Genomic DNA, 26,396 nt, shown 5'->3' on the forward strand with positions numbered 1-26,396 from the left:
CCCCAATTCTCTTCTCTTCTCACTGTTGCCTCAACAGAATGTAATCTTTTTTTTTTTTTAAGCATTCTTTGCAGTGCTTCATTGGTAATTCTCTTACTATGCTTCATACTTTGTGTTATGGTTATGTTTATCCATTTTCTCTTTTATTCACCTGTAGGCCTTTGATCAGAGAATGTATCTAAGTATTCTTTGCATCTCTTACAGCACCTAGTCTGTTTCCTGGTATACTAAATATATACTTGAACAATTGGATGCATCTCTTATCAGTAACTAACCTTTATTTTCAGGTTCTTGAATGAAAAGGCCAGTTATATTTACTGATTTAATTTTATTTTGCTAAACATTGAAAGCTGGACATCATTGTTCAGTTTTTAAAATAGGCATGTCATTATTTGTAGTTAGTATAAGTTCAGTAATGGAGAATTACAATTTTATTTATTTTGCAGTGTGCAATGTAGGAGGAGACTTTATTGATGGGTGAATTTTTTGACCATTGTTTTTAAAAAACATTAAATATATAATTTTAAGTAATTGCCATTTTCTTTTTTTTAGTGCATTTGCACAGTATAACTTGGACCAGTTTACTCCAGTAAAAATTGAAGGTTATGAAGATCAGGTATGTTTCATATAAACACTATTCTTTGTTTTGTTTATAACCGTTAAGGTATCCTGCAAGAGCTGTGAAGTGGTATGCTGCAAGATAAAAAATTATTCATATTTTAATCATAACCACTTATGGGCAAAGTAATTGAAGTTTTACTTTCTTTTGGTGATACCAGTAATACTATTAGCAGAAAGTCCCTTTTAGAAATACTCAGATGTAGTTCATTTAAGATTTTAGTAAATGATTACTGTAAATCTACTTTCTTATTTTTTTCTGGGAAAAAAATCAATCCCATATTAATCCAAAGTCTAGAATATATGTGTAGTAGATTTATATCATAATTTGGTTGCTCTGGAATTCTGTAGTTCTTCATGTGAGTAATTTAGCATTTAGTGATTATTAAATCTCTTCTTTCCAAACTACAAGTTAGATTTGCTAAGCTAAGAAAAGCCACAAAAGGTCACTAGCATTTTTTTTTTATTTAGAGTTTCTAATAAATAGTGATTATATGAATGCATTTCATGCTTGCATGAAGGACAGCTTATGTAAAACACTATGAAGAAGAACTGGTAGGTAGAACATAAGCGAAAGTGGTTAAGAAAGAACATAAGAGAAAGTTCTTAGTGGCTAATCATGTCAAAGCTTTTATTTGGCATTAGTCGTTACGTAATATGTAGTCATAGTTACGGGGGACAAGCAAAGACTAGGCTAGAAGGTGACTTGTAACTGAAGGGAAATTTTAAGCTTATTTATAGATATGTGTGTGTATATACAAAGCTATGTAGAGTGTCATTGTATTAATCTGCAAAATTTATTTTATCTCTGGGAAGATTTGGGTTTTTTTTTTTTGCTTTTTCTTTACTACTATAAATAATGCCATATTAAACATCTTTGTACCTCTTATATTAACAATTTTTTTGGGATAAATTGCTATAAGAAAATTTGCTGTGTCTTTTAAAAATGTTAGATAGCCTCCAAAGTCACTTTATGAACCTAGTGTAATTTTAATATTAAATATTTAAAACTAAAAAGATAAAACAAAAAAGGTAAACAGTATACTAACTTCACATGGACTATAGATTTTAAAACTTTAAGTAAGATACTAACAAATAGGATTTAGAGATATATCCAAAGAATAATATACCAAAACTAAACAGAATTTTTACAGAAATGCAAAAATGGTTCCATGTAAGACATATTGGTCTTACATATTAATAAAGAGAAAAATCTTATGATGTATCAATAGACAGTAAAAAGAGATTTGAGAAATTCAGTAGCCATTTTCTCATTAAAAATAAAAATTCTAGTAAAATAGAGAATCGAAGAAAACCTCTTAAATATGAAACACTTTAACAAAAATTAATAGTAAATGTCATAAACTAAAACATTAAAATAATTTTAGTTAAAATGTAAAATTAGCTAGGTATGCCTGCTTATCAGCATTATCATTTATCATAAATGGAGATGTAGCAAATAAGACAAAAACATGAGAACTTGTAAAATTTGGAAAAGAAAACTTATTTGTGACATGATTTATATATTTAGGAATACCAAGAGATTCTAATAATATAACTCCCAACCAAAAAAAAAAAAGCTATTAGAATTAATAAAAGAATTTGGGGAGATGTCTGAATTTAAGGTAAGGATACAAAACTCATGAGTTGTCCTTTATTACAGCAAGTAAGGACCTGAAACTAGAAATGGTGGGGGTCAGAGTGGGCCAGGGAATTCAATTTAAAATGATGGTAAAAGTTACAGATTAGGAATAAGCTTCATCAAAAAAAGGCATACGATTATGAAGAAAATAGTGACGGTCTTCTCAAGCAACAAAAGCAAAAACTGACACATGGGATATAATTAAAGAGCTTCTGCACAGCAAAGGATACTATCAACAGAGTAAACAGACAACCTACAGAATGGGAGACAAATTTTGCAAATTATGCCTCTGACAAAGGTTTAAATCCAGCATCTATAAAGAACTTAAATTTAAAAGATAAAAACAAGCGCATTAAAAAGTGGGCAAAGGATATGAACAGACACTTTTCCAAAGCAGACATACTTGAGGCCAAACAAGCATATGAGAAAAAAGATCACCATCACTGATAATTAGAAAAATGCAAATCAGAACCACAATGAGATACCATTTCAAACCAATCAGAATGGCTATTATTAGAAAGTCAAAAAATAACAGATGCTGGTGAGGTTACGGAGCAAAAGGAATGCTTATACACTGTTGGTGGGAGTGTATATTCAACTATTATAGAAGACAGTGTGGCGATTCCTCAGAGATCTAAAAACGGAATTACCATTTGACCCAGCAATCCCATTACTGGTTATATACCCAAAGGAACAGAAATCATTCTATTATAAAGAAACATGCTCACATATGTTCATTACAGCACTATTCACAATAGCAAAGACGTGGAATCAATCTAAATATCAGTGATGATAGACTAGGTGAAGAAAATGTGGCATATATACACCATAGAATACTATGCAGCCGTGAAAAAGAACAAGCTTTATGTCCTTTGCAAGAACATGGATGGAGCTGAAGGCCATTATTCTTAGCAGACTAATAAAATATCTTAGCAGAAAATCAAATATCACATGTTCTCACTTATTAGTGGGAGATAATGATGAGAACACATGACACATAGAGGGGAACAAAACACACTGGGACCTATCAGAGGATGAAGGGTGGGAGGAGGGAGAGGATCAGGAAAAATAACTAATGGGTACTAGGCTTAATACCTGGGTGATGAAATAATCTGTGCAACACCTGCATGACACAAGTTTACCTATATAATAAACCTGCACATGTACCCCTGAACTGTTAAGAAAGAAAATAGTGATACTCTTCTTGAAACACATAAAACAGGATCTGACCAATGGAAAGGTGCTCTACATTCCATTCTTAGATAGAAAATTAAATTATTTTAAAAGTAATGTATGGATTTGATGAAATTTGAATTAGAATCCTGATCAGTTTTTTTTTAATTGGTCAATATTTTCATAAAGTTTATGTGGAAAAAAAAACATGCTTGAAATAACGAAGAAATGTGTGTGTGTGTGTGTGTGTGTGTGTGTGTATGTGTGTATATATATATATGTATATATTTATGAAAAAACCATTAAGCACAATGAGGGAGAATTGCCTTACCAGATAGTACAAGTTGTTTTACAGCCAATGTTAAGTCAATGTGGTGGTGTATGGAGTAGACAAAAAATCATTAGAGCAGCATGGAGAACCAGAATTTAGTCTCAGAATATATGAAAAATTTTATACAGATATTGGCATAACTGGTTTCTATAAGAAGAAAATTAAGTTGGACCTCTGTCACATACAGTATACAGAAATAGATTTCAGGTGGTTTTAAAATGTGAAAAGTGGCTAACATTTTAGAAGAAAATCTGAGTCTACATGTGCAATACAGGGCTAGGGAGACCATCTTAAATAACACTGGATACCCAGGAAGTATAAAAGATGGACATTTTACTATAAATGTTTTTAACTGTAGAATGAAGCCTATCTTAAAGAACTCTTATAAATTGATAAGAAAAAGACACCAGATAAAAATATTTTATTATATTTGCTCACAGAAGAGCAAATGACCCACAAATGTGAAAAGCCATACTTAGTTTTATCAGTAGTCAGTGGAATTAAAATGATATATTTTCTACCATCAGACTAAAAAAAGAGCTATAGTGCCTATCATTGGTGGTAATATGGATGGAAACATACTCTCATATATGTGTAGAAATTTGGATTGTCACAGGAGTATATATTAAAAATTATAATACCTGATGTCCCTACCACCACTGCTTGGGAATTTATTCAATAGAAATAAAAGGATCCAATGGAAATAAAAACATCAGTATGTTAAAATATATGTACAGCAATACTCATTTCACCTTTTTTGTTGTTGTTATTGAGTCAGGGTCCTGCTCTGTCACCCAGGCTGGAGTGCAGTGACACAATCACAGCTCGCTGCAGCCTCAATCTCCTGGGCTGAGTAGCTGGGACTACAGGCACATGCCACCACGACTGACTAATTTTAAAAAATTTTTTTGTAGAGATGAGGTCTTACTATGTTGCCCGGGCTGGTCTCAACCTCCTGAGCTGAAGCTATCCTGCCCCCTTGGCCTCCCAAAGCACTAGGATTACAGGCATGAGCTACCACACCCAGTCTTATTTCACCATTTTTAATGTGTTCCTCCTTTCCCCGAAAAAGGAAACAGCCCAGAAATAAAGAGATGGCACATCAGTAGTGGATTGGCAGACTAAATTATGTTATAATCACGTCATGGGACATTATGCAGCCATTTAAAAGAATGGTGAGAAATATATCACTTGACTTTGAGGGATTTCCATAGGATGTTTATATTGAAAGAAGCCAGATGCAGAGAAGAGTGTGTGTGTGTGTGTGTGTGTGTGTGTGTGTGTGTGTACGTACACACACACATTTTCATTGCATTCTTATAAAATAATGACCAGTCGCTTCTCGGCCTTTTGGCTAAGATCAAGTGTAGTAAAATAATGACCAAAAAATTCTGTGTGTATGCAAGTATAGACATGTGTATATCTTTATCTGTAAGATTTTATGACTATGAAAAAAAATTTAGAAAGGTATATCCTGTGTTGTTAGCATGATATATATCAGAGGGATGGATAAGTCCCGACATAGCTAAGGAGTCAAAGACTGGAAGAATTACAAGAGAAGGAAAAGGGGAAATTTTTTAAATAAAGCACAAAATATCAGATTATACATTATGCATTGTGGATGTATTATTTAAATTTATGGAAATGAAGTATGTTTTTAAATACTTGGAAGTCAATTAAAATCAGTTGTCAATGTAGTTTTTAAGAAGCAAGAAACAGATACGTCAAAGTAGGTAAGACTGTGGGCCCAGAGGCAAGGTGGGGGACACACCAAAGAGGATTTGCACCAGACCAAAGCCATTCAGGTAACCACCCTGATTGGAGGTTCTCACAAGTTCTGTAGTTTTGAGGAACTGGAGTCTGATACCAGACATTGTAAACTGTTAGAGTTCTCAAAGCAGAAAACCCACCAAACCCACTTGAACAGTGTTTTTAGAGGTTGCATTTTTTTTCACCAGTAGCTGGAAGTTATATTGGGAGAAAATCTGATCTGCACTGGATGAGAGTAATGTCATTGTCTGTATAGTCAACTCATTTGAAGTATTAATAGTTGTACCATATGGTTAAAATATATGCTTGGAGTAGGATTGTTTTATAGTTTTAAGGAAGAAGCTTAAATGAGTGTAATTATGATGTATCAATATTGAAATGCTGTTTTTTTATTTTTTTTCTAAATTCATTCCATCATCAAAGGTATTGATAACAGAACATGGCGACTTGGGAAATGGAAAGTTTTTGGATCCAAAGAACAGAATCTGTTTTAAATTTGATCACTTAAGGAAGGAGGCAACTGATCCAAGACCCTGTGAAGTAGAAAATGCAGTTGAATCATGGAGAACTTCAGTAGAAACTGCTCTGAGAGCTTACGTAAAAGAACATTACCCGAATGGAGTCTGCACTGTAAGTCATCAGTAGCAGCTTTGTGTGTGTGTTTTGTGTAAATGTGAGTCTTTAGCGTCTCTTAAAATTTACAGTAACTTACAGAATTGACATTGTATAATTTGTCATTTTTTTCCTTAAATATTTCTAAGAATGTTTACTATTTTTTCAAGAAATTCTGGATAATAAATAGATATACTAGGATGGCTTAAAATAGAGAAATGGTTGTACCTTGATTTAAATCCATGTAGAAATTCTAATACATTGATTAAAGGAGCAGGATATGGTGAGATTCTGTAATCTTATGTTCATGACTCGTCTCAGTTTAGATCAAAGTTATTTTTATTAAGTCACAGAAATCTTAGAACAAATAAAATTACTTGGAAGTAAAATTATGTGTTTCTGTATTTTACAGTTACATTTCTTGTGTTTTTTGTGTGGTTCTTTCGTAGGTTCAACCTATTTTTATATTTTCAAGAAATATATGGCTGGGCACAGTGGCTCACGCCTGTAATCCCAGCACTTTGGGAGGCCGAGGCAGGTGGATCACCTGAGATCAGGAGTTCGAGACCTGCCTGGCCAGCATGGTGAAACCCTGTCTCTACTTAAAAAAAAAAAAAAAAAAAACAATTAGCCGGGCGTGGTAGCACGTGCCTGTAGTCCCAGCTACTCGGGAGGCTGAGGCAGAATTGCTTGAACCCAGGAGGCAGAGGTTGCAGTGAGCCGAGATTGCGCCACTCCACTCCAGCCCAGTCAACAGAGTGAGACTCTGTCTCAAAAAAAAAAAAAAGAAAAGAAAAAAAAGAAATACAAAATATGGTAGTAGGAATACATTTCTTTTTTAAAAATTTCATAATATTATTTGTACCCTGACAGGCTTTTTTAGCACCCCCAGTTTGTGCTTCAGTGGCCTTTTCCATTGCCAGAGTGATCTTTTGAAATGCAAATCAGGTCATTAAAATTCCCTGCTTGAAATCCTTCAGAGATTTCCCGTTGCCTGGACTTAAGAGTCCAGGCTTTTGAAGGTGGCTTAAAGGCCCTGTGACCACGTGGCCTCTGCTTACCCCTCCAACCTAACTCTACCATATATCCTAGTTTATACCTGCTTTCTCAATGTAATTATTAATATCACCAGTAGCGTACCCCATTTCTTTCTTGGAAGTTTCCTGGTTAGGACAAAAATTCATATGGTCTGCTTAAGTATCTAGCTCTCTGATTATTTGAGAAATATTGCAACATAACCTCAAATATCTTATGTATTACTTGAATTATAACTTGTTCATCAGGATTATTTTGGAGGAATAACGAGAGTTAAGGGAGTACTTGTTAGAGAGTCCTCATTTATTCTAGAGGATTGAAAGGCACAAATTAATTATTATTTTTAAAGCAGTAGGCAAGAGGTGAAATAGCATTGTGATACATCACAGGCATTCTCTTAACGACCTTTCTCACTTATAAGTAAGTTAATTTATTCCAGTACTTTTAAGTGACTAAAGAAACAGCAGCCCCTAAGATTGTGAAGTGAACAAAGGTGATAATCACAAGCTAGGTCCAGTTTTCACTTGCATGGAAAAAGCTAGATTAGCATCTGTATGTTTAAAATAAATTATCTACTTATGAAAGTAGATTATCTAGAATGTTCGTGAATATTTCAGAGTACAATTAATTTTAATGAATTGTATTTTATTTAGTGTCCCCTTTTGTGGTCCACTAATAATTTGATTACGCATAAATATTTGAGAACATGTTTTTCTAGCTACTATATTGGAATGATGGCCTACTTTGTATTTTATGTGTTCTTGTCAAAGTACTGTACAATTTGCAGTATTTTATAGATTTTTAAAGTTGGACATTCCATGGCCCTAAATTCATTCTTATGCTTATTTTCTTTGCCAATAAGGTGTATGGCAAAAAAATAGATGGACAGCAAACCATTATTGCATGCATAGAAAGCCATCAGTTCCAAGCAAAAAATTTTTGGTAAGTTAAAATTTTGGATATTGGGGAGTTTTGGCATTGTTTTAAGTCTTTGTAGTTCTTGCTTTAGTGATTTGGGCTACACCTTGTTTGTTTATGATTAAGAACAATTTAGAGATGGTATAAAATTTTAGCCTTTTGATATAAGGAAGGTAAATTTGCTCAACAGCCTAATCACTAAAGGTAGTGGTAAATCTGTTGACATTCAGTGGAAAGAGTATGGGACTAGCAAACAGCATCCTGAGGGAGCATGTGTGCCTGCGAGAACACCAGTTGGCAATCCATATGCTCATTCTGTGAAGGGGCTGTTCCTGAATGAAACTTATGTGCAGGAGAACAAAGATAATTATAGAACAAAAAATGATACTACTTTTGTGAACTTTGTGACTCTGAAGTAGAGGATTGCTTTGTACTTGGTTAGCCAATGTGAGGAAATAATGACATGTTTTATACAATGAGGAAGATTACATTCATGCCTTGTAATTTTGTGTACAAATAATTCCATTATTCCTTATAAACTTCAAGCCCTCAGGAGCACTGATTTACCATACTGGTCTTGGACCTTTGACAAGTTGTTGGTCATTTTTATTCTTAGACAAGACTATTTCTGAGTACCTGTTACAAAATTCTGAGGTTCTTTAAGACTTTACAAGTCCATAATTGAATGAAATCTTTACGTTTATCCCTGTTTTACATGCTGAGGTCACCAGAATAAGTATGGTCATAATATTTACCTTTTAGTATATTAGCCTTTGACTTACTAGCCAAGTTGGTTGGTGGTGCTATTAAGGGTAAAGTAACAGGTAACCCCTGTGGGCCAGTTGGGTTCATGGCCCAAGGTTGCTCCACTGCTTAGCCATCTCAGAAATAAATGCAGGGTTGCAAGGTTAACCAAGAATATTTGGAGGAATGCAGATCCATCATCACTGAAGGAAAATCAATGCCATATGTGAATGTATGCCTTAATGACTAGCCACAGTTCCCTAAAGGTTCTGTCATATAGAGTTACTTTTATGGACTTAATATAAGTGTAGTTTCTCTGTGTTGGGTCTAAAATCTTGTAGCATTAATCTAGAATCCTGAAACAATATTTATAAAATTATTACTAATTTATGTTATTTATGCCAGGAAACACATAATAAAATCAATCTTGTTGAGATGGAGCTACTATTAGAAGAAAATTCTTTTTACTACGTTCTTCTTTATAATACATTGGAGCTGTTACAATAAGCTTACTAATTTGTCTTTTTAAAATCTAATTCCTTTGAGCTTTAACATATATAAAATGAAGAAAATGTCTGTCCTTGAGTTTTATTTTCTGTTTAGAGACAGAGTCTTGCTGTGTTGCCCAGGCCGGTCTCAAATTCCAGGGCTCAAGTGATCCTCCTGCCTCCGGTTCCCAAGTAGCTGGAACTACAGGTTCACATGGTGCCCAACTTGTCATTGAATTTTCTATTCTCACTATTTCACTTTACAAGGGTAATTTTTCCTAAGCCATCACTATGAGCATTGTATCACTTAACTTAATGGCTTTCACTTTCTGGAAAAAAATGTATTTTATATGCTTTGATATGATTTTTCCATAGTGATAATATCATGGCACAATAGTCTCAGTAAAATCTAAGTAGTTAATACAAAGAACTATACTTCAAGCCAGGCATCTGTAATCCCAGCACTTTTGGAGACCAAGGTAGGAGGATGGCCAGAGGCCAGGAGTTCAAGAAACCTGGGCAACATAGTACGACCCCATCTCTAGGAAAAAAAAAAAAAAATTAGCCAGGCATGGTGGTGCGTGCCTATAGTCCTAGCTACTTGGGAGGCTGAGGCAAGAGGATCTCTTGAGCCCAAGAGTTCAAGCCTGCAGTGAGCTATAATCACGCCACTGCACTTCAGTCTGGGTGACAAAGCAAGACCCTATCTCTAGAAGAAAAAAAAAAGAAATATACTTCAGTTCATCTAAAATATAGGTAGAGTAAAAATCAGAAGCAACTAGTCTTAGATGTTTCTTAGATTTCAGTAGAGACCTTCTCTTCTTTGTCTCTACCATTTCTCCAGGATCTAGCAGTATTAGGGGCTTAATATAAATGTTTGTTGAGTGAATACATATTTGTAATTACAGAGTTAATAAACGAGAGGGGCAGAATATAATTAAAGGCTAGGACATATTGGCCATTTACTCTACTAATAAAAGAGTACTATCTACTCAGTGTCATTTACTGTTACTGTAGTAATTAATGCCTTTGGAAGAATCTTTTGAAATAGTTCTCAAATTGGTACCACTACTTGGTTTGGAATTATTTTTTTTTCTTTTCATAATCAATGGTTATATAAATGTATATTGTCCTAGTCAGTATTTTATATATGCTAAGGACTCACTAGCTGGCTTGGCACTAATACCTCAATAAAAGGAATACTTCTTTTGGAATCATGAAACAAAAGTGAATAAACCTCCAAGTTATTTTTCCAACCAACCTTCTTTGAAAAATCTTGGATGAGTCACTCAAATCAAGACATGTTATAAAATTATCTGTTATTTTGTAGAACATATACATTGTTCTAATAATAATTTTCAAATATTCAGTGTAACTGTAAGTATGAGAATACAGGTTGAATATCTCTTATCCAAAATGCTTGGGACCAGAAGTCTTTTGGATTTCAAATTTTTAAATATTTACATCATACTTACCAGTTTAACATCCCTAATTCAAAAATTCAAAATTCAGAATGCTCCAATAATCGTTTCCTTTGAGCATCATGTCAGTGCTCAAAAAGTTGCAGATTTTGAGGTATTTCAGATTTTTGAATTAGGAAGACTCAACTTGTACTATCATTCTATAGACTTTATGATTGGGTAGACTACATGAGTATTGAACCCAGAAATCATTGTCTAGCAAAAGCCAGTATAGTGATTAATTACCCTGTGACTATTATATAATGTTCAAAAAAGCTAACATATTAGAATGTCCTTAGCGTGCAGAGAGCAAACAGAGACAAAAAGAAAAGTTACCCTGAAAAGTTTGTCAGAAAAATAGAATATCAGACGCTAAACTACTCATCCAGAATTTTGTCAAAAAAGAAAAATAAGATAAAATTCACTGGTAGACAAAAAGTAGTAACATACCAGTTTGTAATTTCTCAGTTTCAAACCATGAATATGTATTTGTATACCAAAAATCATTTCAGGAGCAGAGAAGGAGGATATGCCTTTTATGTGGAGACTTTAAACATAAAATTGGAAAACTAAAAAAAAAAAAACTCATGTTAATAAGTATAGTCCTTTATTTCCAGATATCAAAACCTCTTTAAGAGTGTTGTATAACATTTACTAGTCATTCTTTTTAAATTGTATGGTACTTTGTATCATTCAGTAGATGTTAAACTACACTGAGTGTATTCATAAAAGCCCCTGTTAATCTAAACATTTATTCCATTTATTTTGGAAATATAAGTGATTTGATTGAAGAAGTAGCTTAAAATTTATCTCCACAGTAGCTTATGACTTAGTTTTGTATTGGTTTTTGTTTTGTTTTGTTTTTTTTAAGGCTAGTCAAGTGGAGATGGAACAAAGAAACCTGTAACTGATTGTGATCAATTAGTGGCAAACAGCACTGCACACACACCAGCCTGAATTGTATTTTAAGCCTTAGCTTTAGAATTCTGGCATTAAATCCATTATGTAAGTTCTTTCTTATCAGTAGGGTGAAAATTAAATATGTATCATAACTGGACTTAACCTTTTGATTATTTTTGACTATTTCAGTGATTAAAAATTTAATGTCCAGTATTCATCCCCCACACTCTCTCATACTGTAGCATGAAATATAATCTGAAACTTAAAATTGATTCAAATTATTTTCCCTACCTTATTTACAGCTGCTGTTTTTATTTTTAAGGAATGGTCGTTGGAGGTCAGAATGGAAGTTTACAATCACTCCTTCAACCACTCAAGTGGTTGGCATCTTGAAAATTCAGGTATGAAAAATAATTTGTTTACTGATCTTTAGATGATTCTGAACAGAGAAACAACTAATTCCTAAGTTTACATTTTCATAGTATATCATACACATTTCTTTTTCAGGTCTTTGTTTTGGGGTAATGGGAAAAACAATAGTGCTGTTTTAAATCTTTTAAATAACCTGGCAGTTTATTCCCTAGTCATCAAAAATCTGCAAGGATAGCTGACAGATTATAAAACACAGCTAAAATTAGATGCTGCCATTTGGTCTGCTCTTCAGATACAATTTGTTCATGCAGGCGTCTTCTGAGTTTGAGTTGTGTACTTCTCTCCTCTGAATTGGGTGGAGTGGGGTGAAGTATCATATTAATATATGCATGTGTGTAGTTGTATAAATATATTGTATGCATGTATTAACGTGTATGTATTGGCTGGGCGCGGTGGCTCACGCCTGTTATCCCAACACTTTGGGAGGCCGAGGTGGGTGGATCACAAGGTCAGGAGATCAAGACCATCCTGGCTAACACAGTGAAACCCCATCTCTACTAAAAATACAAAAAATTACACGTGCCTGTAGTCCCAGCTACTCAGGAGGCTGAGGCAGGAGAATCGCTTGAACCCGGGAGGCAGAGGTTGCAGTGAGCCGAGATTGCGCCACTGCACTCCAGCCTGGGCGACAGAACAAGACTCCGTCTCAAAAAAAAAAAAAAAAAAAAAAGCATACGTGATTGTTTGAAGATTTAGTTAATATGGCTAAAAGGGTTAGGACAGACAGACACCAAGTACTCGATGAATGGTAGTCATTATTGTCAGCATTATTCTTCCTTCACTTAGGCCTCAGTGGCGCTTACCTGGATAATTACAGCAGTTTTAAAATGGTGCCCCTTGTAGGACCAAAGCTTATTGAGAGCAAGGATTGTCTGATTCACAGTACAGTCTTCAGCATTTAGCATAGTACCATATGATTGTTATTTTGTTGAATTGGTGGACTCTTTGACATTCACACTGCCATCAAAAAGATAGTTTTTTAAATTTAAATGTGGATATGTTACTTGACTATGTAAGACCATTTAGTAGTACACTCTCATCTGCCAGATAGTCCAGACATATTTGCATGACATACAAGGCCCAGAGTTGACTGGTTTGCTACCTGTATATATTTCTACAGCTATTACTCTCCCCAACTTCACATACCTCTAGTCCTCTCTGAAATATACTGAAGCCTTTTTTAACCCTCAGAAAGAATCTAGAGTACTGCTAACATACTTTATACATACCTTTACCATGTTGTGCTGAAATACGAGATCAGGGACTGTGTCTTTTTAAAAGCCATATAACCTCAGTACCTTATGTAGCAGCAGTGTTTACAGCACTCATTCAGTGTTTGTTGAGTAAATTCATGTCTGAGTTTGGGGAATTAAATGGTTGGTGGAAATACACAAAAGAAGAACAGGATTGGGAAGGAATATTGTGAGCTCAGATTTGGACATCTTGGTTTTAGATACCAGTAGAATGAATGACTGTGAGGCAAAAATGTCCAGCAGTCAGGTCAATAGAAGGCTTGCCTGAATAACTACAGGAATATCTCTAACTAGTCTCCTCACTAGGCTGAGGGCAGGAAGAGTCTTGCTGGAGTTCAAAAGTTTTGGGGCTCAGCAGAGAAGTCTAGACTAGAGCTGAAATATGTAGTCAGTCTGCATTGATATGCTTGTTGACGCAATAAGGTTCTTGATGATTCCTGTAATGTGGTTTCTGTAATTTCTTTTTCTAATAGGTTCATTATTATGAAGATGGTAATGTTCAGCTAGTGAGTCATAAAGATATACAAGATTCCCTAACAGTGTCTGTAAGTAATTAATTCCACAATAAAATTTAACCTAATACTTCTGTAAAACCAGAACAGTTTTGGAATGAACATTTTAAGTAATATTTCTGCTTCAGATTACCGTGTTTTCTGATAGATTAAAGATAAGTAATTGCAAACCTGTACCTAACTTTTTTGCAGCTTTGAGATATAATTTGTATACCATTCAGTTCATTCATTTAAAATATAAGCTTCAAATTTTTCTCTTTTTTTTTTGTATATTACTAACAGGGTTGGACAGCAGTCACCACAATCTAATTTTAGAACATTTTCATGCTCCTTAAAAGAAACACTGTACCATTAGCAATCATTCTCCATTCTACCCAGCCCTTCCCCCAGAACCCTCCCAGCCCTAGGCAGTGGCTAATCTACTTTCTGGCTCTGTGGATTTGCTTGTGCTGGACATTTGATATAAATGTAATCATAATATATAGTCTTTTCTGACTGGCTTTTTTCATTTAACATGTTCAACATTCATCCTTTTTGGAGCATGTATTAGTACGTTGTTCCTTTTTATTGCCAAATAATACTCTGTTTTATGGACATACCACATTTTATCCATTCTTCAGTTAATGGACATTTCTGTGTTCTACTTTTTGCTGCTGTGAACATTTGTGTACTATTTTTTGTGTAGCTTTTTAAATTTATTTTTGGTATATACATAGGAGTGGAATTGCTGGGTCATTTGGTAACTATGTTTAACCTTTTGAAGAACTGCCAGACTGTTTTCCATCTTATAGTTTCACCAGCAGTGTATAAGAGTTTCAGTTTTTCTGTATCTTTTTCCAAAATGTGTCCTTTTGATGATAGCCATCCTAGTCAGTATGAAGTAGTGTCTTATTGTGGTTTTTATTTACATTTTCTTGATGCTAATGATTTTGAGCATCTTTTCTTGTGCTTATGATCATTTGTATATCTTTTGGGGGGAAATACCTATTCAGATCCTTTGCTCATTTCCTAATTGATTATTCACATTTGTATTACTGAGTTGTACTTGTTCATATATTCTGGATACAAGTCCAGTGTATCACATACATGATTTCAGATATTTTCATCCTTCTCTGTGTTGTCTTTTCACTTTCTTGATGATATTGTTTGCAAAACAGAAGATTTTGGTTTTGATTTTTTTCTTTTGTCATTTGAGATTTGAAATATTAATAGAAACCATTGTCTACCCAAGGTCGTGGAGATCTACTCCAGTGTTTTCTTCTAAAAGTATTATATAATAGTTTTAGCTCTTACATTTAGGTCTATGATCTTCTACCTAACTTTTAAACTGTATCCTATCTTTTCATTTCAGTAGCTATTTGGATCATGATTTAATGAAGTTTTTTTTTTAAGTTCATCTTTCAAATTTAAGAATTTTTGAACTTGGTTTTATTTCTCCACAGAATTCTTTCACACATTCTTTCCCTTGCATATGCAACTGTTTCCTTGTTGATTTTTGTTGGTTTGGTTGGTTTTGTTTTTTTGAGACAAGACCTGGCTCTGTCACCCAGGCTGGCATGATCTCAGCTCACTGCAACCTCTGCCTCTAGGGCTCTAGCCATTCTCCCAGTTGAGCCTCCTGAGTAGCTGGGACTACAGGCACGTGCCACCACACCCAGCTAATTTTTTTTTTTTTTTTTTTTTTTTTGGTAGAGATGGGGTTTCACCATGTTGCCCAGCTAGTCTTGAACTCCTGGACTCATGCAGTTTACCCACCTTGGCCTCCAAAAGTTTGGCTTTTGGTTTTTTTGCCCCATGGATATTGACAGTATAACATTTAACAGTGACATTTTCTCATTTGTTTGTGTCATATACCTAAAAGTATCTGTGTATTATAAACATCAACTGCTTATATACAATTTACAGATATTAAAGAAAATTTTTTTTTTTTTTTTTTTTGAGACGGAGTCTCGCTCTTTCGCCCAGGCTGGACTGCAGTGGCGCTGTCTTGGCTCACTGCAAGCTCCGCCTCCTGGGTTCACGCCATTCTCCTGCCTCAGCCTCCCGAGTAGCTGGGACTACAGGTGCCCACTACCACACCCGGCTAATTTTTTTTGTATTTTTAGTAGAGACGGGGTTTCACCGTGTTAGCCAGGATGGTCTCGATCTCCTGACCTCGTGATCCACCCACCTCGGCCTCCCAAAGTGCTGGGATTACAGGCGTGAGCCACTGCGCCCGGCCAGAAAAATTTATTTTTAACTCAAGAAAGCATTTAAGAAACATGTATGAATGTGTTAAGACAGATGCTACCTAAGAAGATAAGCTATATTTACATATACATACATACACACACACACACACACACACACACACACACACACACGTATTTTTTTGAGACAGGGTGTCACTCTGTTGCCCAGGTTACAGTGCAGTGTGTGAATACAGCTCACTGCAGCCTCGACATCCTGGGCTCAAGCCATCCTCCTGCCTCAGCCTCTCTAGTAGCTGGGACTATAGGCGTGTGCCACCATGCCCAGCTAATTTATTTTTTGTAGAGATGGGGTCTCACCATATTGTCCAGGCTGGTCTCAAACCCTGGCCACAACCAACCTTTCTGCCTTGGCCTCCCAGAGTGCTGGGATTACAGGCATGGGCCACCACACCCAGCCCCTGAAGCTATCTTTTAAAAAAATTTTTACTAGCACTTAGGTGATTTCTGCTTTGACCTAATTGGTACTCTCCTTGCAAAATTTGCCAGTGAAAAAAACTTACTAATGTCTGATTTTCCATGAGATGTTCTCCATATAGTTACATATCATATGTAATTACTACATTCAATATTATTGACATAACAAGGGTATGGTGCCGTCTTGTTTGGGGAGTTTGACATTGAGCGAAGATGCTTCCTGGATGGGTGCGGTGGCTCACGTCTGTAATCCTATCATTTCGGGAAGCTGAGGTAGGTGGATCACTTGAGGTCAGGAGTGCGAGACCAGCCTGGCCAATATGACGAAACCTCGTCTCTACTAAAAATACAAAACCCCATCTCCACTAAAAATACAAAAATGAGACGGGAATGGTGGCACATTCCTATAGTTCCAGCTATTTGGGTGGCTGAGGCATGAAAATTGCTTGAACCTGGGAGGCGGAGATTACAGTGAGCCAAGATCACACTGCTGCACTCCAGCCTGTGCTACAGGCTGAGACCCTGTCTCAAAAAAAAAAAACAGATGCTTCCTAAGAGAAATTTGTCCACAAGAGTACAGAGGGTACGGTTTTGAGAGATGGTCATAGTAATTAAACTTGACTAATATGCCAGTTTGTGCTCGTTTTTTTAGGAATGACCATTTTTACTCTATCTTAGGAGGTTTTCATTGTTTTATATTTTTACACCATATATATAAAGTATAAGGTGTTAGAGACTTTTACATTAACACTGTTTTATTTTTTAAATCCAGATTCTGTTAACTTTACTGTTAGGAAAAAGCAAACAAACCCATCTATTGGCATGTTAAAAAAAAAATTTCCAGAAAAATACATTCTTCCTGATTAGTGATTTTTTTTTTTTTTTTGGTATCACTGTTCTGTTACGTAATGTTCAGTAAATATTTAACAATATTCAGATAAAGAGTCATCAATTAGAAATCTTTACCAAACTTCTTACCCATAAAGGTTGTCTATTGGAATGCATGTCCAGTGTTTAAAATTGAACTTTTCATCCATGTGTGTATCATTGAGATTTCACTTTCCTTAGCCAGCTGAACATTGAGACCAGCTTATTCTGTAGACTTTTAAAATAATTTTACCTATTTTCCCCTTAGACTTAGAATAATTGATCTTACAATATTTATTCTATGTCATAATTTCCTTCTGTGTTATTTATTATAACATTACATTAACCATACATATATTTTAAAATAATAGTGGTTTAGTTTTAAATTACTATTTTTATTTTGTTTTTTTTTTTTTCAGAATGAAGTGCAAACAGCAAAAGAATTTATAAAGATTGTAGAAGCTGCAGAAAATGAATACCAGGTATGATTTTTTAAATATTATATAAGCTACACTCACATATGAATTAATGTCACTGAAATTTTAATTTCAGCCAAAGGCTGAATTTTTCCATTGCATCAGTTAGAGTCTTTTTGTTGTGTGTCTGCTTTTAACACAAAGGCAGACTTACTAATGTGTAGGCAAAAAGAGTGGCAAGTAAATTGAATTCCATTAATAGTTTGTGTTTTCAAAATACTAAGACTAGGCCGAGCGCGGAGGCTCACGCCTGTAATCCCAACACTGGGAAGCCGAGGCAGGTGGATCACGAGGTCAAGAGATCAAGACCATCCTGGCCAACATGGTGAAACCCTGTCTCTACTAAAAATACAAAAATTAGCTGTGTGTGGTGGCATGTGCCTGTAGTGACGAGTGCTACTCGGGAGGCTGAGGCAGGACAATCGCTTGAACCTGAGAGGCAGAGGTTGCAGTGAGCTGAGATCACGCCACTGCACTCCAGCCTGGTGACAGAGCGAGACTCCGTCTCAAAAAAAAAAAAGACTAGGTTTTGGCCAACATAATTTCTGAGTGCAGATTGAGTATCTCTGATCTGAGTTGCTTGGAACCAGAAGTGTTTTAGATTTCAGATTTTTTTGGATTTTGGAATATTTGCATTATCTATTTACCAGTCAAGCTTCCATAATCTGAAAATTAGAAATCTGCATTAGTGCTTCAGTGAGCATTGCCTTTGAGTGTCATGTTGATGCTCAAAATGTTTCAAGCTTTGGAAACTGGATTTTTCAGTTAGGGATGCTCAACCTGTATCAGTCAAAATATGCCAGACTTTAAGTGGCTATTTTTTTTCTGGTTGGAAATTTTAATTCAGGCTGTGTCTTAGCATTTGGATTATGTGTAATCTGTTTAGATCACATTTCATTTTGTGCTTTACTTTTTATATTATTTATCAGCTTCTAAACTACACTCTTGAATTGAACCATTTAATTTGTGAATTGGACAAGTTTCTACTCCTTAAAAATAATAATCTATAAATTGTTCTGACATACTAAAATAAATTCAAAATGACACACAAATATTAAGTCTAATTTATAGTTTTATTTCATTAAGTTTATTCAAAATTATTATAGGCTTTTTCTTCTAGCTGCTTTTATTTTATTTATTTATTTATTTATTTTTGAAGACAGAGTCTTGCTCTGTGGCCCAGGCTGGAGTGCAGTGGCGCGATCTCGCCTCACTGCAAGCTCCGCCTTCCAGGTTCACGCCATTCTCCCACCTCAGCTTCCCGAGTAGCCGGGACTACAGACGCCCGCCACCATGCCCGACTAATTTTTTTTTGTATTTTTGGTAGAGACAGGGTTTCACTGTGTTAGCCAGGATGGTCTCGATCTCCTGACCTCGTGATCCGCCCACCTCAGCCTCCCAAAGTGCTGGGATTACAGGCGTGAGCCACCGCGCCCGGCTCTTCTAGCTGCTGTTAAACAGCTTTTAAAACAATGTTGGGATTTTATTTGACTGTTTAAAAACAGTGAAACAGGCTGCTTAAATAAAACTTATTCTGAAAACATCTATGTGCTTTATAAATTGTTCTGTTCTTTGCTTTACTTTAAACTTCTAACTATTGTTTTTCATAGACTGCCATCAGTGAGAATTATCAGACAATGTCGGACACTACTTTCAAAGCCTTACGTCGACAGTTGCCAGTTACACGCACTAAGATTGATTGGAACAAGATCCTTAGCTACAAGATTGGCAAAGAGATGCAGAATGCATAAGATGAACATTGCATGACCGGATCATTTTAGTGTCTTTGCGTTAAAAAATCATTGCAAAAGTATTCTGAACTGTCAAGCTGCCCAGTCAGATGGGCTGTTGCCATTTAAAATCACTGTAATTAATTAGTTTGATTAGAGCACAAAGCTTAGCTAATCAACCATTATTTTTCATTTTGTTTGTTCTAAGAGGATTGAAAATCAGTTTAGTTTAAATGTCTTTCTGTTAGGCCTTTCTTTCTTACAATGAAGAGATGATTCTTCTAGTTTATGGTTAAAAGTTTTTGAAGTGTCTCAAAAATATTTTACTAACTGTAACCCTAAAATTGATGTCTTTTGGTTTATGAAATCAGTAATTTTTGATATTTCCCCAGTTCTTTTTAATGGGGTCAATAATGGACATTCTAGTTTAAGGTGGTTGATGGATTTAGCCATATATGCTGCTAAAGAAATTGTCTACCTTTTCTTCCTCACCTGTTCCATTTATGTAAAGTTGAGATTAGAGGGAAAGCATTTTCTATATCAATTGTGTTTAAACCTTTCAAGAAGGTTATTTAGCTAGCTTAGTGTTGAACTAAATTTTTTTTAAACAAGGCAAGGTCTAATGCTGTTTTGAGATTCTGAAATTAATGAAAATACTTATTTCAGAAATGCATTTAATGCTTTTTTTCTTGTGACAGTTACGCAAATCAGCTTGAATTCCATATGTCCCTGAGTTATTTTTATCATAAAGCCACAAATGTATTATAACAAGGCAAATTGTAATATATATAATCCTGAACTCATGACCATGTCTCGGTTTATTTTTTTTTTCTTGGATTGAAAAGTACTGAAATTCAATGTGACATTAAAATGCAAATTTTCCTATTTATTTGAGTAGAAAATCACTTACCAGTGAGCATATATATTTTAAAATACTTTCTTTGGATATTGTAATTCTTAACTGGTTGTAAATTAGAAAAGCTGGGATTACATATGGTGTGCGGTTACAGTCTAAATTTTTTCATCCTCCTATGCATCATAAGCATGTTTGTAATATTTTCAAAAATAGTTCTACTGATGCTACAGGAATTTCAAGCCTGTGGTGAATGTTAGTATTTACCATAGGGAGTGAAGTGGAGTTATGGTTTCATTCAATAGAGTATTGCTGATTATACTTGAGTGGAATCCTTTCCTCACGTACTCCCACAGACGTCTGGGCCTGGAAATTTTTTTTTTATTTTATTTTATTGTTTTTTTTTTTAGAAAAACACCACTTTTATTATGTACAATAAAATATTTCATTAGCTTGAATTGTATAGATTTTTAAAAATTCAATGAAAGCATGTTGTTTAATTTCTTTTTAAAATCACTGTTGGGCTTTGAAAGCATTGAGAATATAATATGAAATTATGACATTTTGTCTAAATCATCTTTTCTTTAGTTTTAAAATACAAGTTTTGGCACATTGGGATTCCTAAAGAAAATGAATTGGTAACATTAATTATCTGTTCCTTTTTAAAATATATATATTTGAAAGTTTGATGATGGTGAACTAAATACTAGATCTAATTGACAAGCTTAGTTGTATCAGTTAGGCCATCATGAGTTTCTATCCCATGAAAGTCATCAATTTCCTATCTCTGTTCTAGTCTGGAATGCATTACTGAAAATGTATGCAACTGTTTTTAAGGTGATTTGCTTGTGAGACGGAAGATTTATCAAAAATAATTTAGAACAGGCTGGGCGCGGTGGCTCACATCTGTAATCCCAGCACTTTGGGAGGCCGAGGCGGGTGGATCACGGGGTCAGGAGATTGAGACCACCCTGACTAACACAGTGAAACCCTGTCTCTACTAAAAATACAAAAAATTAGCCGGGTGTGGTGACAGGCGCTTGTAGTCCCAGCTACTCGGGAGGCTGAGGCAGGAGAATGGCGTGAACCCGGGAGGCGGAGCTCGCAGTGAGCCGAGATCGCGCCACTGCACTCCAGCCTGGGTGACAGAGCAAGACTCTGTCTCAAAAAATAATAATAATAATAATAATAATATAATTTAGAACAGTCTGAAATAATGATGGCACAGAATAGTCTTTTATAGTATAAGAATGGCATTTATTAGGCAGGGCACAGTGGCTCACACCTGTAATCCCAGCACTTTGGGAGGCCGAGGCGGGTGGATCACGAGGTCAGGAGTTCGAGACCAGCCTGACCAACATGCTGAAACCCCGTCTCTACTAAAAACAAAAAAAAATTAGCCGGGGATGGTGATGCGCGCCTGTAATCCCAACTACTCAGGAGGCTGAGACAGGAGAATCATTTGAACCCGGGAGGTGGAGGTTGCAGTGAGCAGAGATCGAGCCACTGTACTCCAGCCTGGGTGACACAGGGAGCCTCTGTCTCAAAATAATAATAATAATAAAAGAATGGCATTTATTAAAGTGAAAGAAGAATGGAAACCCAGAGTATCCTATAGCTCAGGGATGTAATTTTAGTAGGAGACATTATGGCTGCTTTGCTGAGTAGGCTGAAGTGTGGTGGCAAAGGCATAATCAGGGAGAACAGCTAGGAGACTACTGCAGTAATCTAGTTGAGAGAGCATGCTGGCTTGGACTGAGGTGGTTGCTGTAGAGGTGGTATAAAGCAGTGAGGTCTAGGTATATCCTAAAGGTAAAATCAGCAAGACCTGGGGAGAGTTTGGTCATGGAGTGTGAGATAAAGAGAACCATGTCTGGGGCTGGAGAAATTGAGGAAGATTCTTGTAGGAGCAAGTTGGTTTGGAGAAGAAGGCTGGTCAGGAGCTCAGTTTTCTATTCAAAGGAGAAATATCTCATGTAGCAGTTAGATACAGGAGACAGGAACTAGAGGAAAGCTCTGGGCTAGAAGAATGGGAAAGTGCATGAACCTGGAAACAATTTTATAGGCAGACAGGATGAAGGACCTCAAGGTTAGTGATAATGAATTTAAAGTAAATGAGACCAATGATGAGCATGGCTGTATGTTTTTCTTCAACCGTGTAAAGCTGTTTGGGTGCAGGCATAGAGTAGATGAAATAAATTTCACCAGGGCTGTGGTTTTGCCCAGAGTGAATGACCACATGAAGAGGGGCAGGGTATGATGATGGTCTGTGGAATTTCAGCTGGGTAAGCAGGGAAGTGAGGGCTTGAGACGGGGGGAGGGATAGTGAAAATGTACAACCAGTGGATTATAGGTGTGTTAAAGTAGGGGAACTAGAAAGAATGACCTGGAAATGTAAGAAGTGGGCCGGGCGCAGTGGCTCATGCCTGTAATCCCAGCACTTTAGGAGGCTGAGGTGGGTGGATCATGAGGTCCAGAGATCAAGACCATCCTGGCCAATATGGTGCAACCCCATCTCTACTAAAAATACAAAAATTAGCTGGGCGTGGTGGTGTGCCTGTAGTCCCAGCTACTAGGGAGGCTGAGGCAGGAGAATCGCTTGAACCCAGGATGCGAAGGTTGCAGTGAGCCGAGATTGTGCCACTGCACTCCAGGCTGGCGACAGAGCGAGACTCTGTCCCAAAAAAAAAAAAAAGTGGTGGGCTGGCCACGATGGCTCACGCCTATAATCCCAGCACTTTGGGAGGCCACGGCAAGTGGATCATTTAAGGTCAGGAGTTCAAGACCAGTCTGGCTAATATGATGAAACCCCTTCTGTATTAAAAATACAAATATTAGCCGGGCATGGTGGCACATGCCTGTAGTCCCAGCTACTCAGGAGGCTGAGGCAGGAGAATCTTTGAACCCAGGAAGTGACAGTTACAACGAGCGGAGACTGTGCCACTTCACTGCAGCCTGGGTGACAGGGTGAGAGTCTGTCTCAAAAAAAGAAAAAGGAAATGTAAGAAGTGGTGATTGGAGAATGGTGTGCTTAATTAAAATTGAGGTTTTGAGGAGTTACTAGTAATGACAAATATGACCAACGGAGTGACTGGCTGAGGGGAGAGAGGAGAGGACTTAAGCAACTGTGCCACTCAGCATTGGAAAGGTCACCTCTGTGACATTAAAATCAAGAATTCTGATAGAAGTAAGAGTTCTGGCATGAGTGGTGCTTTTCCAGAGTACACTTGGATATATGATTACATTTTAATAAGTTATATAAATATGCAGATATTCATGCGGCTTTTCCTCATTTGGGATTTTGGAAACTAAAATAGTAGTAAGAGCATTAAAAAAAAGATGTCCTGGAAGTTCTCGTTCATTGCAAATGTTCTTGAAATGTGAAATTCTTGGAAAAGTAATCAGGGACAACTATTGACAGTTGTGTGACATTTGGGTAGCCCTTTCTACAGTTAAAGTCATTGTGACTTTTAGTAGCCACACTGAAACCTTTGGAATAATGAAAGACCCTTTCAAAAGATCTTCCATACTGATGATCAGTTTGCGCCTTTGCCATCTATGGGGTATGAAATGTAAAGGCACATTTAGCCAGGAGTTAACACAGGTGTTTTGTAATGCGTGCATGTTATGAAACATCCCAAGAAAGATGTGTATTTCTGTTCACTTCTCTTAAGATGCAGTATTTAAAAGAATCATAGTGTACTTGCTAGTCTTAAATGTAAATTTTGGGCCAGGCACGGTGGCTCATGCCTGTAATCCCAGCACTTTGGGAGGCTGAGGCAGGTGGATCACCTGAGGTCAGGAATTTGAGACCAGCCTGACCAGCGTGGTGAAACCTCATCTCTACTAAAAAAATACAAAATTAGCCAGGCGTGGTGGTGCACACCTGTAATCCCAGCTACTTGGGAGGCTGAAACAATTGCTTGAGCCTGGGAGGCAGAGGTTGCAGTGAGCCAAGATCACGCCATTGCACTCCAAAGAGTGAAACTCCATCTCTGAATGAATGAATGAATGAATGAATGAACGAATGAATGAATGAATAGTATAGATTTGGGGGCTTGAAACTGAGGACTTCTTAAAGGCAGATGCTGTGTAGACATATCCAAATTTGACATTCTGAGTATTATGCAAAAGCTTTATTGTAAGTTTGACCAGTAGTGCTAGCTATTGCAGAATACGCAAAATATTCACAGGTTAAGATTAAAATAGCCGATTAAATTTTTAAGGTCTAGTTAGCATTAGAAATTAATGTCAGGTCATTCACATTTAAGCAGATGTATTGAGAGAGCTGTTCTAGGCGTTGTGGAGTTTGGAAAATAGAAAACCGTTTCTTAAAGCAATCTACAAACTACTCATGGAACAACAGTGTTTTCCTACCCTTGTCACATCACAACATATGTAGAAAATGATATTTGTGGCTGGGCACAGTAGCTCACACTTCTAATCCCAGCACTTCGGGAGGCTGAGGCAGGTGGATCCTTTCAGTCTAGGAGTTCAAGACCAGCCTAGGCAACATGGCAAAACTCTGTCTCTACTAAAAATACAAAAATTAGCCAGGTGTGGCGTACGCCTGTAGTCCCAGCTACTCAGGAGCTGAGCTGGGAGGATCACCTGAGCCTGGACAGGTTGAGGCTGCAGTCAGCTGTGATCGTGCCACTGCACTCTAACCTGGGTGATAGAGTGAGAACCTGTCTGAAAATATACAAATAAATAAGGCACACTGCAGGAAATGGACAAGGCTGCATGCTAATTGTTGTAAGGGTTAAGAAGATCAGTATCTTGGCACACCTTAAACCTGTTTAGGAAGATGTGCCATGGACAACACAGATTGTTTGTAAGATAAACTTCAAGCCTTACCTAAGATAGCTTTTAAAGAGATGTCAAGCCAAGGGAGGTTTTCTGGAAAGGATGAGTTTTAAACTGCTTTGGCAAGTATGCATGCCAGTGGTAGGAAGGAAATCCTCTTGTATCTCAGTGAAGCATTAATATGTAGATAATAGGTTTCTGGTAAAGAAATGTCATGGGTCAGAATGTCATCCAGTTCAAAACTAAATCTGACTTTAAAACAGCACAGTACAAAATGAAATTATAACAGTAACGTTAAGAATCAGTGTTCTTATAAACTATAGTATGGCTAATAAGATATTTTCTCTCTGGTTTTGGTATAATCTAACAAAAGAGTATTAGTTAACGTCAGTTTCCATTTTTGCAGTGTGACTGTATCAGAAAACAGATTTTTTTTCACACAAACTCGCTAGAAAACACATCACGGGTTGGGCGCAGTGGCTCACGCCTGTAATTCCAGCACTTTGGGAGGCTGAGGCAGGTGCATCACAAGGTCAAGAGATCGAGGCCATCCTGGCCAACATGGTGAAACTCCGTCTCTACTAAAAATACAAAAATTAGCTAGGCATGGTGGTGTGCACCTGTAGTCCCAGCTACTCAGGAGGCTGAGGCAAGAGAATTGCTTGAACCCAGGAGGCGGAGGTTGCAGTGAGCCGAGATCTCACCACTGCACTCCAGCCTGGGCGACAGAGCAAGACTCCGTCTCAAAAAAAAAAAAAACATCACGGATACCAAATCAGCCACTGACTCTCATAACATGAGCTGTGTGTGGGACAATCTGCAGTTAAAGCATGCTGATTAGTAGAAGACTGTTAAGGAAGCCCAGTTGGCATATCTTAGAAGATTGATGACTTCTGGGAAAATTTGTAAAATGCCCAGCTCTTTAACCAAATAAATTTTCAAGGAATTATTTTACTGCAAGGATATCCCAAAAAATCTTGCTGACTAAACAGCACAAAGTGTCACCTTCCTTTGGGCTGCTAACTTGCTAGACTCTCAGCGTCTGAATACCTGATCTGGATCTCTTCCATCCCAGACTTTGACCTGAAAATGAAGGCTTGCCTCCTGTTT

The 26,396-nt window shown here is 36.6% G+C and overlaps 1 protein-coding gene and 1 pseudogene across 1 annotated transcript in view, besides 1 other annotated feature; both read left to right on the top strand.

The window, feature by feature from the left end:
• Window positions 1-23,830, top strand: part of CAPZA2 (capping actin protein of muscle Z-line subunit alpha 2) — a 59,463-nt gene extending 35,633 nt beyond the window's left edge. The window contains exons 4-10 of the mRNA NM_006136.3: window positions 553-616; window positions 5,958-6,164; window positions 8,044-8,123; window positions 12,014-12,092; window positions 13,850-13,921; window positions 17,841-17,903; window positions 19,508-23,830. Of these exons, the coding sequence (NP_006127.1) occupies window positions 553-616; window positions 5,958-6,164; window positions 8,044-8,123; window positions 12,014-12,092; window positions 13,850-13,921; window positions 17,841-17,903; window positions 19,508-19,648 (706 nt within the window). The 3' untranslated portion in view covers window positions 19,649-23,830. The remainder of the gene's footprint in view (window positions 1-552; window positions 617-5,957; window positions 6,165-8,043; window positions 8,124-12,013; window positions 12,093-13,849; window positions 13,922-17,840; window positions 17,904-19,507) is intronic.
• LOC124901857 (uncharacterized) lies at window positions 5,099-5,224 on the top strand (annotated as a pseudogene).
• Window positions 20,011-20,725: a silencer, noted in NCBI's record as "conserved region 9 (CR9) negative regulatory element (NRE) in the greater CFTR locus". NCBI's record gives its function as "modestly represses an SV40 promoter coupled to the HS2 beta-globin enhancer in both orientations, and also a gamma-globin promoter coupled to the HS2 enhancer in the forward orientation, in transfected K562 cells {active_cell/tissue: K562}" and the evidence as "EXISTENCE:reporter gene assay evidence [ECO:0000049][PMID:18436892]".
• Window positions 23,831-26,396: the final 2,566 nt, after the last annotated feature.

The sequence above is a fragment of the Homo sapiens genome, chromosome 7 (assembly GCF_000001405.40).
Source record: "Homo sapiens chromosome 7, GRCh38.p14 Primary Assembly".
NCBI lineage: Eukaryota > Metazoa > Chordata > Mammalia > Primates > Hominidae > Homo > Homo sapiens.